Below are 18,156 nucleotides of genomic sequence, written 5' to 3'. Positions count from 1 at the left end.
GAGGTTGCAGTGAGCTGAGATGGAGCCATTGCACTCCAGCCTGGGCAAAAAGCGAAATTCCATCCCAAAAAAGAAAAAAAAAGATCTTGGCAGGCCAGGCGTGGTGGCTCATGCCTGTAATCCTAGCACTTTCGGAGGGCAAGGTGGGTGGATCACATGAGGTCACAAGTTCGAGACCAGCCTGGCCAACATGGTGAAACCCCCATCTCTACTAAAAAAAAAACAAAACAAAAATTAGCCAGACATGGTGGCAGGTGCCTGTAATTCCAGCTATTCGGGAGGCTGAGGCAGGAGAATTGCTTGAACCCATGAGGAGGTTACAGTGAGCCGAAATCATGCCACTGCACTCCAGCCTGAGCAACAGAGCGAGACTCCATCTCAAAAAAAAAAAAAAAAAAAAAAAAGAACTTGGCAGATATATAGCTAAACTACGCTGAATTTTTGGTTATCATTTGTAATAAAACATTTGAACTTCGTGCCATTTTAGCTCATGTTCGTTGGTTTACTTTTGTATAATCTATTTATTTTACTTTAAAAGTTAAGCTTTGAGTAGATAGAGAATTTTTTAAAACTGTATGTAAAGTTTAAAAGATCCTTGTGTATTGGGTGTCCTTCTGCCAACCCATTCTCTTCCCAGTATCCTCAGAGGTAACATTATTGTGAATTTTGTGTTTATTTTTCTCTTACTTTATGGTTTCACCACGTTTGTATTCCTATATGATACATATATGTAGATGAATCATAAAATATATGTAATTTGGTGACTTGCTATTTTCATGCAACACTATGTTTCTGAGACCCATCTTTGTTATTGCTGGCGTCTAAATTCCAGTCATTTCCCAGCTGTGTAATACTCTATGTAATGCTGTGTAAGTTGGATAATGGCTGTATCACTTATCATCCAGAATGTGGTGATGGAAAGAAATTTGGGTTTTTACTTTTTTCCTGTCAATAGTGCTTTTGTGAACATTCTTTACATTTCTCATATATATGTACATGGATTTCCTTAGGTTGTATTCTTACAAATGACATTTTTCAGGTCATAGGGCATGTGTATCTTCATCATTATTAATTAGGCCCTATTTCTTCTCCCAAACTGGTTGTAACAATATATACCACACTCAGCAGAGTTTGCGTGTTCATGATGCTCCAGGCTCCTGCCAACGCTGATATATCAGACTTTAACATTTTCAAACTTGTCGTGTATGAAATATTTTCTAACTGTGTTGTAATTTGTTTTTCCCTAATTACTAATGAGATTGATCACATAGTCACATGATTATTATTGGCCACTTGGGATTTTTTTCCTGCGAAGCGCCTTTTCAAGTCTCTTGCTGATTTTTCTTAGGGTCGTTAATGTAGTAGAATTTGTCAGTCTGTTCCTCCAAGATTCACACTATATTCTGGTCTTCTCTATCTTGAGGTCATGAAAATGTTCATATTGTTTTCTAAACATTTCTGAAAACATACTTTTGACTTTTAAGTCTAAGGTCTTCACTTTACCTGAGTCCCCCTTCTTTACTTTTTTCCTTCCATCTTTTCTTTCTTGTTATCCATATGAATAACCAAATGTCTCAGTATGATTCACTGAAGCTCCAGTTCTTTACTACTGATCTACAGGGCCAAAACTGTCACAGATTAAATTTCTACTTACACATATCAGTTTCTGGTTTCCTTCTCTCTCTCTCTCGTTTTTTCCTTACAGACAGTAGAGACAGGGTCTTGCTTTGTTTCCCTGGCTTGTAGTGGCTCCATCTTAGCTCACTGTAGTCTTGAACTCCTGTGCTCCTGCGATCCATCTACCTCAGCTTCCCAAGTAGCTGGGATTACAGACATCTGACTAATTAAAAAAAAAAGAAAAGTACAGATGGGGTCTCACTATGTTGCCCAGGCTGGTCTCTAACTCCTGTGCTCAAGAGATCTTCCTGCCTTGGCCTCCCAAAGTGCTGGGATTACAGGTGTGAGCCACTGCTCCTGGCTTGGTTTCTCTTTTGTGTTCCTCTGTCTTCCATGCTAATACTACCTAGTCTTAATTATTGTAGCCTTAAAACAATTTAAATAACTGTCATAATAACTGCTTTGTAGGTCTTTATAGTTGTCTTCATTATTTTATGAAACTTTGCTGTTTTATTAAAATTTTAGAAGTTTTTATTAGAATTATGTTGAGACTATATAGATCAATGTTGGGAGAATTGACATTAATAATACTGAGTTTTCTTATAATGGATAAGAAACTGGATATACTTTTCTGACTATTGAGCTTCTTTAGTGTCTTTTCGTGTTCTACAGTTTTCTGTGTAAAGCTCAAATCTTCTTAGACTCCTTATTTTTTGAAACTCTTATAAAAGGTACTCTTTATAATTTACATTTTTTAACCTTTTAATGCTAGTGTATAGAAATAAAATTGATTTTTGTGTCTTAATTTTTTTATTTAGCAACATTGCTAAACTTTCTAGTTCTTTTCTTTTTTCTTTCTTTCTTCCTTTTTTTTTTTTTTTGAGACAGAGTCTTGCTCTGTTGCTCAGGCTGAAATGCAATGGTGCGATCTCAGCTCACTGCAACCTCTGCCTCCCGGGTTCAAGTAATTCTTCTGCTTCAGCCTCCCAAATAGCTGGGACTATAGGCGCGTGCCACCACACCCTGCTGTTTTTTTGTATTTGTAGTAGAGATGGGGTTTCTCCATGTTGGCCAGGCTGGTCTTGAACTCCTGACCTCAGGTGTTCTGCCCACCTTGGCCTCCCAAAGTGCTGGGATTACAGGAATGAGCCACTGCGCCCGGCCTAAACTTTCTAGTTCTAACAGTTCATGAATAGAATCTTTTAGATCATCGACATATACAATCATACCATCTTTAAACTACTTCTTTCTTTTTAACCTTTATAATTTTTGCTTATATTTTTGCCTATGGTTCCATCTTAGACCTACAATTAGTGAACAGAAGCAGTGAAAGAAGGCAGCTTTGTCATTACCTGGTCTTTAAGAGATTATATTATTGGTTACCAAGTAATTTCATTGTCATCACAGAGTACGGCTTTTAACATATAAATCTTTAACATGTGTTTAGACTTATTTTATGGCCCAATATGTCATCAAACCCAACTGGGCCATAAAACTCAACAGATCACCACCGCTCTTTTGTGGATGATCAACATTTATAAAAGTTTCATGTATTTTCTGCATTGTAGGTGCAAATTCCTGCACATTATACACTAGCAGTTGTCAATATATCATCTAGGGACCCTGAAGGTTCCCCAAGACCCTTTCAAGGGGTCCATGAGGTCAAAATTATTCTTATAGCAATACTAAGATATTATTTGCCTTTTTCTCATTCTTTCATGAATGCACAATGGAGTTTTCTAGAAGCTACATGACGTGATATTGAAACAAAATGAATATAGAAGCAGATAGTAGAAGGATACAATAGGCATCTATTAAGCCAGATGTTAAGGAGATTTCCAGAACTGAAAAACAAAACCCCTTTATCACTGATTTTTTTTTGTTTTAGAAAATATATTTTATAAAATTTATGTTAATGTGAAATAAGCTTATCATTATTTAAAAATTATTATTAAAGAAATATTTCCTTAAATTATGTTTTAATTTCTTATATGGTAGATATCAACAGAAATAACCTATATACATAAAAGCTTTTTAGGGTTGTCAATAGTTTTTCAGGATGTAAAGGGGCTCTGAAACCAAAATTTTTAAAAAGTGCTGGTGTATAAGAACAAGCTGGTTAATGGTGTTATTTAAATCTTTTATGTTGTTATTGATCTTTTTGATCTCTCAGTTGCTGAAAGGAGTGTGTTAAAATTTTTTCATTAATGTAGATTTGTTTATTTCTCCTTGGAATTCTGTCACTTTTGCTTTATATATATATTTTCAGGCGGTGCTATTGGGAGTAAACAAATTTAGAAATATAATATCTTTTTGGTGATTAGAACCTTTTCTCTAGTCTTTGTATTAGAGTTTATTGTGTGTAAAATAGCTAATTTGTTATAACTATGCTAGATTTCTTTGGGTTAGTGTTTGGCTGATACATTTTTCTATCTTTTCAAACTTACTCCCTTTTCAAACTTTTATCTTTCAGGTCTGACTCTTATAAACAAAGTGGAAAGTTATTCAATGTGTCAGTAAATACAGTAGATCTCTCATGACATATATCCTATTATTATCAAGTAGTTTATTCCCATCTTGTTTTTGTAAATCTCTCTCTCTCAACACACACACATGCATACACATACCTCTTAATAAGCACTTTCTACTAAAAAATATTTCCAAAATTTCCTGAAGTAGGTGTAAGACAGTGATATACCCCTTTAGTTTTGTATATTTAAAATATCATTATTTCAATTTAATTTTTGGAAGATTTTTTTAGGGATGTATTTCTGATTTGACAGTTATTTTTTTCTCAGCTCATTGAAGCCAGTGTTCTGTCTTCTAGCTTCCATTCTTGGCTTCAGTAGGTCACCACTCTGCCACTTTTTTTGTATATAATCAGGGTTTTCTCTTTGACTACTTTTAAGATCTTTTGTCTTTGATCATCTGCATTTTCATGTTGGTAGTTGACATGTGGATATATTTTTATTTATCCTGCTTGGGATATGTTAGGAATCCTGAACCTGTGGAATGGGCTTCTTGCCAATCTGGAAAACTTGTGGCCATTGTCTGTTTTAATACTGCCTCTATTCATTGTTTATCTTTTTCTCTTGATCTCGTATTGAAGCATGTTAAATTTTCTTACTCTCCCCCATTTCTATTAACTCTAGTTTCATATTTCTATCTTTTTGTCCATTTATATTATATTCTCCATAATTTAATTAAGTCTAATTTCACTTTGTTAATTCTTTTATCATTTTGATTTGTTGTGTTCATAAACCTGTCCATAGAATTTAATATTTCAGTTATGCTTTTTATTTCTAGAGGTACTTTTTGTTTATATTCAAATCTTATTGGTCTTTTTTATATTACTTTCCTTCTTATGCATATTTACAGATCTTCTAGACATTATAGAGTGAGAAGATGTGAAATTCCTAAGAGCAAACACACTGGGCCATCTGGCACCATATTTATTGGGAGAAACTCACCGAAACAGGAGGCTGTGCAGATGTGCTCAGCTCCCTTTCCCACTGATTATGGAATATGCTCAGGGATCTAGCTTGGAGAATTGTAAGACACAAGGAGAAAGAGTATGGATTTAGTGTTGTGAAATGTTTAAGCTGGAAGACTGGGATAATACCACTCCTTTCCTAGCACGACACATGAATGGAGTTCAAACATGATAGCATTATGACCTAACAAAACCTTGGCCTCTGTTCTGCCACCTCAGAATTCATGGTCGAGAGAGCACCAGCAGATCCATTTTTAAGTTACTGAGTCCTCAAGATGGGGTTGTTCCTTAAGACATGCAACCCTGGTTCAAAAGTCACTCACTAAGCTGTCAATAAAGAAAACGTAAGGCTCATTCAGTTCACATGATATCCTAGTTAGACACAGGAACAGATAGAGGTGAATTTCTTGTTCTGGCAATACTGCAGCTAGATCCTCCTATGGAAAAGCAATAAAAACTGCCAGATAAAATATTTTCTAAAATCCACTTTGTGAGTATACTGATGAGCTAAGTAGTTCTCAGAAACCAAAAATCAGGTGAAAGCGGGACATTGAAAAGGTAAAAGGACTATGAAAGCATTCATTAAGTAAGGTCGTAGTTGAGCTTTCTAAAAAGTCCGTGGCCTTGCAGGCATTGCAGAATAGAAGAAAAAAGCCCAGTGACCACCCAAGAGGGAGAGTCAATGAGAGACATCCTGTCTCACTGCATAAAGCTGTGATTCTCAAGGGTTACACCCTCGCTGTGAGGTCACCATAAGGAAATTTCACTGACCTAAGCATTGACATTGGCTATGCAGGGGAAAGAGTTCCCTTGAGGATGTATAATCACAAACCAGCCAGCATAAGGTTTTATACCTTGAATTCATACCACCGTATTTTCCAAAAAAACTTCAAGTGGAAATTTAACATACTCCTGGGTTTTGTACTATTCCCAGGCAAATGGAGCAAATCATATAATGCAACCCAGGCATCCAAGTATTCACAAAGAAGAAATTCCAAGAAATAAGAGCTCAGTGCTATAATTTAAAAATGCACGAGTGAACAAAACACCATGAGAAAGCTTAAAGATAAAAACCAGATGCCAAAATTAGACCCACAGACTTTATAAATAGAGATTATCTGAAATAGAATATGAACTTCTGTATTTTGTTAATTCTACAATGCCACCAATTTTCAAATGCACTATTATTTTATTTACCACAAAAAAGAGAGAGAGAAAACACTGACAATTACAATTGTAAGCTGCATTCCAGTCTCGAAGCAAAAATGTGGCTTGTTTATTATTTCTTCAGATCGTATCATTTCTTTTTATTTATCTACAGGTTTACTGACTAATATGCTAAGTCCACTCAGTGAACTTTTTTTTTTTTTTTTTTTGAGATGGAGTCTCGCTCTGTCACCCAGGCTGGAGTGCAGTGGCGCGATCTCAGCTCACTGCAAGCTCCGCCTCCTGGGTTTATGCCATTCTCCTGCCTCAGCCTCCCAAGTATCTGGGACTACAGGCACCCGTCACCACTCGTGGCTAATTTTTTGTATTTTTAGTAGAGACGGGGTTTCACCGTGTTAGCCAGGATGGTCTCGATCTCCTCACCTCATGATCCACCCACCTCAGCCTCCCAAAGTGCTGGAATTACAGGTGTGATAGAGATTCTTAATTATTTTATATTCCTCTCAATATAATTGATTGTGTTTGTTTTAGTAGTCAGTTAATTTGGCTGAACTTGAACTTCCCAACTGTATCTCCTGCAATGGGATGGCATCTGAAATCCCTGTTGAGATCTTACAGCCTTACCAGGGCTATTTGGAGTTCTGCTTCACACATGTAGGCCAGAAGTCGGCCAGATATTTGAGCAGAGATTATGCAGAATTGGGGACAGTCTTCTGTGACTCTCTTCTTTACAGGATTTCCTCTTCGCTTTACAGTTATCAAGGCTGCTCTGGATTCTGTCTTTAAATTTTTCAAACTAATAAAAATAGGAGTTTCTATTAGAATCTTAGCTGCCCTGCACAGTGGTGCCAGCTGTCCCTTCCCCTCAGATGAAAAGCCACAAAAAACAGGAAACTTTTCATACTGTTCCCATCTTCAAAGTATTGGTTCCCTTCTGGTTTCTGCCTGCTTTTGATCACTCTCCAGTACCTTGAAGCACTTATTTTCAATCTTGTGTACAGAGTTTTAAATGGTGGGATTTTTTGTTTGTTTGTTTGTTTTGGTGAGTGTGTTGGTTCAATACAAGATACTTCGCCATTAGCATAAATATTACCTCCCTTTACTTATTTTGACATTTTAACTGATGGATTGTACCTAGGAAAACAGTGTTTATTTTGAGTGGTTTCATTTATTGCATGTGATCTGCATTGTATTGTAGAATTTTTCTTTCTGGTAAGTATCTGTCATCACTTAATCATAAATCACATGCAAGTTCAAAGTACAAGTTTCTTAATTGAAGAGTAATTATTATAATAATCACTTGTAATAATTAGTTATAATGATGTGCATGTCTTTTCATTTGTGGAAGGAATTATAATTCCCAATATGACAAAACTTTGAAATTCCCTTAATAATTACTAAATGATTATGACTCTATCAAGTTGCAAGTGACTGTTTTGGAATAGTATGACCTCATATCTAATATGAGGCATTTAAACTAAATAATACAACTGCTAACTCTCTTCAAACCCTTAGAATTTTCTAAACTAATTTGTTAAACTAAATTGTTAAGCTAATGATTAGTTTTTACTTTGGAACACAGGTTTGTGAAACTGTGCATTAATAAAACCTGATCTTTTTTTTAAGTTAGGAGGAAAGCTACATTTTCAGTGGAACACTGCCTTAGTAAGCAAACCATGATAAGGTTGCAACTGAGGCTGAGCCATTACAGGCAAGTTTCACATGCACCACTCAATTTAGACCGGGTGGATTTCAAGCTGTTCTAGGAAAATTCTTCAGGCTAAGAAGAGGGCTCTTTCTTATAGTCCAGGGCAGTGCTCTTTAAACATTTTGGTCCACTTACTCCGTAAGTTTATTTTGAAATCCCGTGAACGCCTTCTCACATTTATATTGGCACCTAAAATTTTTCGTTGTAAATGCTCAGTATTTACAAAGAGTATAATTTCCCATATGTTGTTGATGTTGATAATTTAATATAAAATTGTTAGATCCTTGTTTTAAATATGTCAAATGGAATATAAATACTAAAAGTGATTTATCTACCATTATATTTTAAAAATATATCAATAAGCTCGTCTTTTATCTCTTGGAATTTTTGTTTGTTTGTTTGTTTGTTTTTTGAGACGGAGTCTTGCTCTGTTGCCCAGGCTGGAGTCTGGAGTGCAGTGGCTCGATCTCGGCTCACTGCAAGCTCCACCTCCCAGGTTCACGCCATTCTCCTGCCTCAGCCTCCCAAGTAGCTGAGACTACAGGTGCCCGCCACCACACCCGGCTAAGTTTTTGTATTTTTAGTAGAGACGGGGTTTCACTGTGTTAGCCAGGATGGTCTCGATCTCCTGACCTCGTGATCTGCCTGCCTCGGCTTCCCAAAGTGCTGGGATTACAGGCGTGAGCCCCTGTGCCCGGCCAGCTCTTGGAATTTTATATTATTCTTTTTCCATTTTGAACTAACGTTTTTATTCCATTTGGCTTGTAGAATTTTATTTTAATTTTATACAATTTTATGTTTTCATTAGTCACTGTATTATATTTCTTTGCAATAAAAAAATCTATAAATAAATTAGTATGATTTTTAAATTTCCCATATCCTTAGGCTCTAAATATTAAAATTTCTTCTGTATTAATTATGAATATTTTTAATAAACAATTTATTAAAACAGTATTAATGTTATTTTTTAATCTTTGAGACAGCATAGTGTAGTAGTTAAAAGCACATACTCTGGAGCCTGAGTAAATGGTTTCAAATCTCACCTCTAACTCTAGTTGCTCTAGACTTTTCGTTGCCTTATCTGTAAAATGGAAGTTCAAAATAATGCTAGTCTCTGGGTGTAGTGGCTCATACCCGTAATCTCAAAGCTTTGGGAACCTGAGGCAGGTGGATCCCTTGAAGCCAGCAGTTCAAGACCAGCCTGGGAAACATAGCAATATTCTATCTCAACAAAACAATCTTTAAAAATTAGCCAGTTGTAGTGGTATGCACCTGTGCTCTTAGCTACTGGGGAGGCTAAGGCAGGAGGTTGGTCTGAGCCTAGGATTTCGAGGCTGCAGGAAGTTATAATCTTGCCACTGGACTCCATTCTGGGTGACAGAGTGAGACCCTGTTTCTAAAATAATAATAATAATAATAATAATAATAATAATAATAATAATAATACTGAGTTTGGCTGTGTCCCAATCCAAATCTCATCTTGAATTATAGTTCCCATAATCCCCACATGTTGTGGGAAGGACCCAATGGAAGGTGATGAATTATGGGTGTGGTTTCCCCCATGCTGTTCTCATAATAGTGAGTGAGTTTTCACAAGATCTGATGGTTTTATAAGAGGCTTTTTCCCCTTTGTTCAGCACTCATTCTCTCTCCTGCCACCCTGTGAAGAGGTGTCTTCCACCACGATTGTAAGTTTCCTGAGGCCTCCCCAGCCATGTGGAACTCTGAGTCAATTAAACCTCTTTTCTTTATAAATTACCCAGTCTTGGGTACTTCTTCATAGCAGCATGAGAATGGACTAATACAAATGCCAAGCTAATATAAATGTTACGAGGTCTAAATCAGTTCATATATATAAAGTGCTTAGAATAGTTCCTGGGCCATAATAAATACAATGTAACTGTTTGCTTTATTTTTATGCCCATAATTATTAAAAGTGAAAAATAAAATGTTATTGAAATGCATGTCACTGAGATGGATAAGTTTTTAAATTAGCTTATGTATTAAATGCTAACTATTATTTATTGCTGGAGTGAATCTGAGTTCCATCATGGCTGTCACACTTTTTCATTTATATACTTATAATGAGAAACCTTTTCATATATAGGGGTAGATGAGAATAGAGTCTTGTTATAGCAAAAATCTCCTAATTCTTTGAACTTTTTTGGATTATGTGCCAAAAAATGACTCATTGGTCTTTCATAAATATCATTTTTAATGATCTTTCAGTGAATGGCTCCATTAAATTCTGCTTCAATTTTGTTGAAAGCATTCAGTTAGAAACCATCTCACTTGCAAAATGATTTTTCTCCAGTATATGTAGTCATTTTCTTTTGCAACACCAATACCAGTGTTTCTAATTATACCATTTCTGGGTGCCCTGAGAGAATTTATCATTCAGGACAGTGTACTATTGTCAAACAGTATGGGTAAAAAGTACTATTTTTTAAAAGAGAAAAAGTAAGGGCTAATGTGAAAGAGAAGGTGGAAACAGAACTAGAAATGGCTCCTGGACTGTACTCCTTCTGAGAGTGCAGCATGATTCTGGGCAGATTCGTTCTGGAAAGTCTTTGTGTGGCCCTGATGCATGTACTCCAGTGTTAAGATCATGACCACTGGGGCCATCCTTTTTCCCTGGGGAGTCTGAGCCAGGGACATATCATGCCCAGCATTTGCTAATTTGAATTTTGACTTCTGATCCTTGTTGGGATGTGCGTTTGGGAGAGAGCCAGTCAGTGCTGTGGTTCTTATACTGTGGTCCACAAATCCAGGGGGGGTACCCCAGATCCTTTTAGGGAGGTTCTGTGAGGTAAAAACTATTTTTATAGTAACACAAAGATGTTTGTGATTTTTACTGTGTGGATAATTTGCCCTGACAGTGCACAAGCAATGGTAGGTAAAACAACTGGCCCTTTATCATGAATTAAAGCAGTGGCACAAATGACCAGGGGTCATTGTATGTTTTGGCTCACATTTGTGGTTTAAAAAAATTCCATTTTCACTTAAGAATATCCTCAATGAAGCAGTAAAAAAAATTTTAAAAGAAATCCCAACACCTGTGTATATGTCTTTTTAATATTCCATGTGATGGAACAGGCAATATGCATAAAGCACTTCTGCTGCACGTCAAAGAACAATGTCATGAGGAAAAGCACTTAAATGATTGTTTGAATTGCAAGCTGCGCTGGCCACTATTTTTCTTTTAACAAAACGTCATTTTTGGTAGAAAGATTTTGCTGACAAACTATTGTCTTAGTCCATTTTGTTCTACTATAACAGAATACCACAGACTGGGTAATTTATAAAGAACAGAAATTAATTCTATCACAGTTCTTCAGGCTGGGAAGTCCAAGATCAAGGTGCTGGTAGATTAGGGCCTGGTCTTTCTGCTTCTACCTTGGTGCATTGAACACTGTGCCCTCCGGTGAGAAAGAATGTTGTGTCCTTACATGAGGAAGAGCAGGAGAGAGAGAGAACCCGCAGCTGCAAGCCCTGCTTATAGCAGCATTAATCCATTCATGAGGGCCCCACCCTCATGACCAACACATCTCTTGTTACACCTCACCTCTCTACACGGTGGCATTGGAAATTATATTTTCAGCACATGAATTTGGGGAGACATTCACACCATAGTAATTATGGTTATTCATACTTTGGTGTTCATAATAGGCATTTTTCTTCAAAATGAGGAATGAGCCTGGTACTTCAGTGAAAATACCTAATAGTATTTATTTCTAATGTTAAAATTCAAGTTTTCAAGGAAACATTTGGATTTTGGTTCAAGCTTGTGACTTCATTGTGAGTTTTACAGCCTACCACTACCAAAAGTCTTTTGATGAGATCGGTGGTGATATGTGATAGTAGCAAATAGGATTTTCAGAATATTGTGTAATGAAATGTGTAAACATTTTGCAAATTTATGTAACTCAGTGACCTCATATTTTTCAAATGGTCAGTGCATGATGTTACAAAATCATGCATCGGTGTGTTAGTGTTCTCCACTAACACAAATGTTCTCCAAACTGATGGAGAACATTAGTTTGTGTTCTCCAGAGAAACTGAAGAAATAGGATCTCTCTCTCTCTCTCTCCCTGTGTGTGTGTGTGTGTGTGTGTGTGTGTGTGTGTGTGTGTATGTGTTTATGTAGAGAGATTTATTTTAAGGAACTGGCTTATTTAGGTGGAGGCTGGCAAGTCTGAAGCCTGCAGGGCAGACTTGCAGGCTGGAAATTCAGGCAGCAGTTGGTGTTGTAATCCTAAGTCTCAAGGGTGGTAGTCAGGCAGCATTTCCACATTTCCACGTTGCAGTCTGGAGACGGAATTCCTTTTTTCTTGGGGGACCTGAGTCTTTTTCTCTTAAGGCCTTCAATTGATTGGATGAGCCTCGCCCACATTATGAAAACAGAACCATTTCACTCCATCTACTGATCTAAATGTTAGTCACGCCTTAAAAAAAATACCTTCATAGCAACGTCTAGCCTGGTGTTTGAACAAACAACTGAACACCGTAGCCTAGACAAATTGGCACATAAAATTAACTATCGCAATGGATAAAAGATTCATTCAAGTTGAAGGTAGACCAGTAGATTCGACATCACCAATAAGCTTCAAGAAACTACCACTTGTTGAATATTGTAGTATCAAAGGATGTCTGCAATTATCTGGAAAGCTGTTAAGATACTCCTCACTTTTCCAACTATAATGCATCTGAGCAAGGATAGATTTTCCTCATATACTTCAACTAGAATAACATATAGCAGCAGATTGAATGTAGAAGGAAATATGGGAATTCAGCTTCTATTCTCCTGGATTAAGCCAGATATTTAAAGAGATTTTCAAAAATATTCTTTAAAATTATATTCTTTTCACTAATTTTCTTCATTTTAAGAAATATAGATTTTTAAAATAAAATGTTTTAATAGACAATAGATTATTTTAATGCATTAATAAATTTTTAAAAACTTTTCTCTTAGATATCATACACTTACAAATTCTTTTCTCAGTAATATTTTAGCGTAAAGGGACCTTTAACACTGTTGTTTGGTAATTGCTGCATTGGTAAATGGAAGGTGATAGATTGGGAAAATAATTAATTCTTATTAAGACAGCACATGTTGTGGTTAGATGTTTTCTTGAGGTGTTAGCCTGTTTGAACATTTGAATATTTTAATGAGTGTTTTACATAAAAAGTGGTTTGCACACATATACGACCACAGTGTTAGTGGTTGTTCAACATAATGTAAGATAAACACCCTGAAGTGAGCAGGCTGGTTAATTTGGGGAACTTTCTTCCACATCGGATGTAGTTGAGGGGAAGTTTGCGTTATATTGGAGAGCTGGAGAGCAGTGTCCCCTGATGAAGAGCTTCCCAAAGATGACCTGCTGATGCTGGGTTGCTCTTTTTTTTTTTTTTTTTTTTTTTTTTTTTGAGATGGAGTCTTGCTCTGTCTCCCAGGCTGGAGTGCAGTGGCACGATCTGGGCTCACTGCAAGCTCTGCCTCCTGGGTTCACGCCATTCTCCTGCCTCAGCCTCCCGAGTAGTTGGGACTACAGGCACTCACCACCATGCTCGGCTAATTTTTTTTGTATTTTTAGTAGAGACGGGGTTTCACTGTGTTAGCCAGGATGGTCTCGATCTCCTGACCTCATGATCTGCCTGCCTTGGCCCCCCAAAGTGCTGGGATTACAGGCATGAGCCACCACACCCAGCCAGGGTTGCTCTTTAAAGTGACTCTCAGAGCTCTTTGCCAATTAATTGGATGAGGAATTTCAGCAGCTTTTTAAAGTCCTGCCTCTGGGCCCCAAATCCCTGAACATCTCCAACATCTGCTTCAACTGTTCAGTCCTCCTCACTTTGTTATAACAATGTTAGAAATGTAGTGCCAGCTGCAGTTTTACGGTCTGAGTTTAACCAATGACACCAACACCCGTCCTAGGTCAGCATCCTTAATTTTTGGTTTTGGCACATGGAGGATAATGTACACAGTATAAATCAATATGTCTAAGAGGAAAGGAAAGCAAAGTGCTAAAAGCAAAATTTGAACTCATAGAGACTGTTTTACTTTAATAATCCCTTATAGTCTCCCTTTCCAAATTATCACATGAAACTTGTTCCTGAATACATTTTCTTTCTTACCTGTTAAAAACATTAACTGTAGCCCTGTGCAGTGGCTCAAGTGGATAATCCCAGTATTTTGGGAATCTGAGGCAGAAGGATTGCTTGAGGCCAGGAGTTTGAGACCAGCCTGGGCACACAGTGAGACCCTGTCTCTACAAAAATAATAAATACCCAGGCATGGTGGTGCATGCCCATAGTCCTAGCTACTTGGGAGGTCGAGACAAGAGGATCGTTTGAACCATGGAGTTTGAGGCTGCAGTGAGCTATGATTGCACCACTGCACTCCAGCCTGGGTGATAGAGTGAGACCCTGCTCTGAGGGGGAAAAAATATATATATATTTATATATTATTAATATATTTATATATATATTTATATATTATTAATATATTTATATATATTTATATATTATTAATATATTTATATATTAATAATATAATTTATAATAATATAATTAATATATTTATATATTATTAATATATTTATATTATATAAACATTATATTATATATAAATACATTATGTATTAATATATTTATTATTAATATAAATATATAATATAAATAGATTATAAATATAAATACGTTTAATAATATATAAAATTATAAATACATATTTATAAATATATAAAATTATAAATATATAAATATAAAAATAATATAAATATAAAAATTATAACATAAATATAAAAATATAAATATAAATATAAAAAATTATAAGTATAATAAATATAAATATATATACATTATATACAATATTTTATATATATTATATATAAGGATATATATATTTTATATATATATATCCTTCTTTAAAAATCATCTTCTAAAGGTTCAGGTAGATCATGACAAGGACATTTGTGATCTAGGTTGATGACAAATACTAGGCATCCGCCTTATTTGGTTTCTCAGCCACATGTTTCCTGAGAGATCCCTGAAATAGGAGTGTGGTTCCAATGGCTGCAAGGAAAGAGCAGCCTGCAGACTAATTGGCATGCAGCTGGGAGCAAGAGCAGCCAAAGTGACTTACAAAAGATCTGCTGTGTCCTAACAGGCCTGGAGATTTCCTGCAGACCCCGGCAAAGTGGTTCAGGCTGTGTTTGGAGTAGCTCAGTCTGAAAGCCAGTTAGATTGTGGCAGCTGCTTGATTAAAGAACGCTGTTCAGTAGAAAAGAGGGAAACAAACGAGAAAACAGAAATAGACTCTACGTACTGATTGTTTGACTAGAGACAGATAGAGACCCATTACCAGTGAGTCTAACAGGGTATAGCAGTATCAGAACAACCTAACTTTGGCTGGTCATTTCACTTTTTGGCAAGGTGTTTGCCTCCCATGTGCTATGGATTTTCTCTCGGCTTTATTTTCTCTCAAATGATGGTGAGACTCATGTTCTGCGATTGGAAAGCACTTTAGGCTTTTCCCTGTTTTCATCTCTATAGTTAAACTCCTATAGCAACCTCAAGAAACCTATCCTACAGGTTAGTGCACAGTAAAGAGTAAGACGAATTATTAAAAGCCTTTTAAAACACCTGTAAATATAAAGGCATTAAACAAATTTTAAACACATTTTGGAAAGCAGAGGCATATCTAGAAAAGTGTTGTCAAGTTGTGATTGGTGCATTACCATCTGGCATCTTGTTCCTACCCAGGAAAGAAGGCCAGAGAAAAGAGAGAGAGGCTTATGGAAGTGGGATTTTTTTCTGATTTCTTTTCCAGTTTTTTCTGTTTATTTAGAAAATCTGTGAATTTTTTTTTTCAAAATTTTTATCTGAATGTACTTGTATTTTAAAAGTGGAACATGGAAATGTATTGTTCTTTCTTATTTGTGTTAATGTGGAAATATTTTTTCTTTTCTTCCTTTTCACTTTCTTACCCAATGTATTGTTTTGTTTTTCTTAGCTCTCTGGGTATTGCTCTGAAGCTTTTTTAAGTGAATTATCTCACTTAATATACACACAGCCCTATGAAGTTGTTGTTAAAATTTTTATTATTTCCATTTTGCAGAAGACTGGCTGAGGCTCTGAGAAGCCAAATGCCATTAGCTTAAGGTCACACCTGGTGATGTCAGCATTTGAATCCAGGCAGTCTGACAACATCACCCCACTGCAACACTGTTGCCAATCTCTGAAACTTTTCTCCAAATATTGAAATTTAATTGCCTCTTATTATACTTGCTTTTTGAGTGTGTTATAGATGGAATAGAGTATTTTGTTTTCTGATATATAGTGCAAAAATAAACAAAAACAGTATTTAAAAATATATTCTTCATCTTGGCATTTGACTCTTGTTCAATATCCTTTCTTGGTGATTTTTCTCTCGTTGTAGAACTAGTCTGAAAGGATATTCTCTTGACAAAACAATATTTTCTTATACTCCTATGTTTAGGAGAATAAGAAATTACTTCATTTTCTCAGAAGAAAATCGAGACGAAATTTTGTTGGGACTTGGCCCTTGATTTTAGATGCTCATTTCAACTGCAAAGCTTCAAACTTTGGGAATCTCTCTTGTTGCAGAGGCTCTATCTCCTATTATATAAAAACAGGTTAGCCTAAGGGCTCAAGACGGTACATTCTAGGTTGATATTTGGGTTTGTGTGTGCTTCTGGCATGGAAAATATCTTGTCTTTAGAATGTATTTAACAAACGCAAGTTTTCCCAAGGACCTGCCAGTCAGCAGTTGGTGTTGACTTTGGGTATCCTGAAGCACTGTTTGGAAATGTGCATTGTGGCTCTGTCCTGAAGTGGGCTTTATGGGTAAAATACTTTAAAACTGGGAGTCAATGGGCTTTAGAGAATTCCATTGTGTGCAATATTGGTTTGTTTTTAGATTTTCAAAGGGGGCTCAGTGGTTAAGAGCTAGTGTTTTGGATGATCTCTGAAGTGACTTCGACAAATTATTTGTTCCTCTGACTTTTGGTGTCTATTATAAGAGACATTTGCTCTGCGCTGTTCATGTGCATTTATTTAATAAATAAAGTGCATTAAGTTTTGTGGTAGCTTTCTTTAATTTATCATTCCCTGGCTGTATTCACTCATTCATTTATTAAAATCTTGTGCCAGGCACAGTACCAGAGTAAAGCAAAGTGAATCAGAGCACCTCATTATATATTCATTCTGCAATTCTGTGCTTTTCTGTTTTAGCTGTTATCACATTTTCTGTATGCATTTGTGTGTTGTATCCTTCTGGAGGTCAAGGCTTGTCTTGTTTCCTTCCCTGACATATCCCACAGTACTGGGCACACTGCCTGGCATATGAAAAGATCTTAAGCAATATTCCTTGAATGAGGACATCTTGTGTCTCCTCAGAGTACCTCGTTTCTCAGCAGGGGTTCACTACATGTCTTCCATGAGTAAGTATTCACCAGAAATTTGAGTGTCTGACTTGGTTCTGTGTGTCAAGGGGCTAGAAACAAAAAACACTGTGGCTCTCCAGCCTCAAAGACCTTGTAGTGTAGAAAAGCGGGAGAGAGGACCGTATTTAAACTTCAGTTTTTAAGTGCTGTGGCAGGTGAAAAATGTGGACAGGTAGTGCACAGCAGACAAGGAAGGGTGGTTCATACGGATGAGACTGCGGGAGGATGTGGAAGAGGGATAAGAGAAAGAGAACATGGTTGAAGAACAGGATCAGTAAGAAAGGACGATGGCCACATGTGCAGAGGCCAACCCAAGGATAATGGAAAAGTCTGCAAAATCCTCCAGGTTTCAGTGCTGTCTTCCACTGCCTTGCTCTTAAAATCAGGACTTCAGTGGGAGAAGGGCTAGTGGCTATCAGAAGAGATCTTCAAAGAGGAGAAAGGATGGTGCTGAGGGTCATTGTAACACTCTGGACTTTGTAGCCTCATAGTAGAGGACGCGATGCCTGGAGCTGAAGAGCAGAGGCGGGGGAGATGCTTGGGGAGTGGATGGACACAAGGGTTGAAGGGGCTGGCAGGGAGCAGGAGTAAAGACAGCTTGAAGGAAGATTCTGCAATAAATTTTATATAGTAGCTAAGCAAGCTTTTTTTCTGGAAGGAAATGCCGAAAATATGTTAGCTAGATCACATTTATGACTTAGGGA

General features: G+C 36.6%; 1 protein-coding gene across 9 annotated transcripts in view, besides 1 other annotated feature; it reads left to right on the top strand.

Annotated features, from left to right (window-relative positions):
* The window catches only part of TMTC1 (transmembrane O-mannosyltransferase targeting cadherins 1), a 283,947-nt gene that overhangs the window by 59,341 nt on the left and 206,450 nt on the right, over positions 1-18,156 (top strand). The window lies entirely within an intron of this gene.
* Positions 14,846-15,390: an enhancer, noted in NCBI's record as "OCT4-NANOG hESC enhancer chr12:29862962-29863506 (GRCh37/hg19 assembly coordinates)". NCBI's record gives its function as "activates a minimal SCP1, AML or CMV promoter by ChIP-STARR-seq in naive H9 embryonic stem cells {active_cell/tissue: H9 hESC(naive)}" and the evidence as "EXISTENCE:reporter gene assay evidence [ECO:0000049][PMID:30033119]".

Source organism: Homo sapiens, chromosome 12 (assembly GCF_000001405.40).
Source record: "Homo sapiens chromosome 12, GRCh38.p14 Primary Assembly".
NCBI classification, from domain to species: Eukaryota; Metazoa; Chordata; class Mammalia; order Primates; family Hominidae; genus Homo; species Homo sapiens.
The sequence above is the reverse complement of the archived record's forward strand: the minus strand, read 5'-3'. Positions and strand labels throughout refer to the sequence as shown.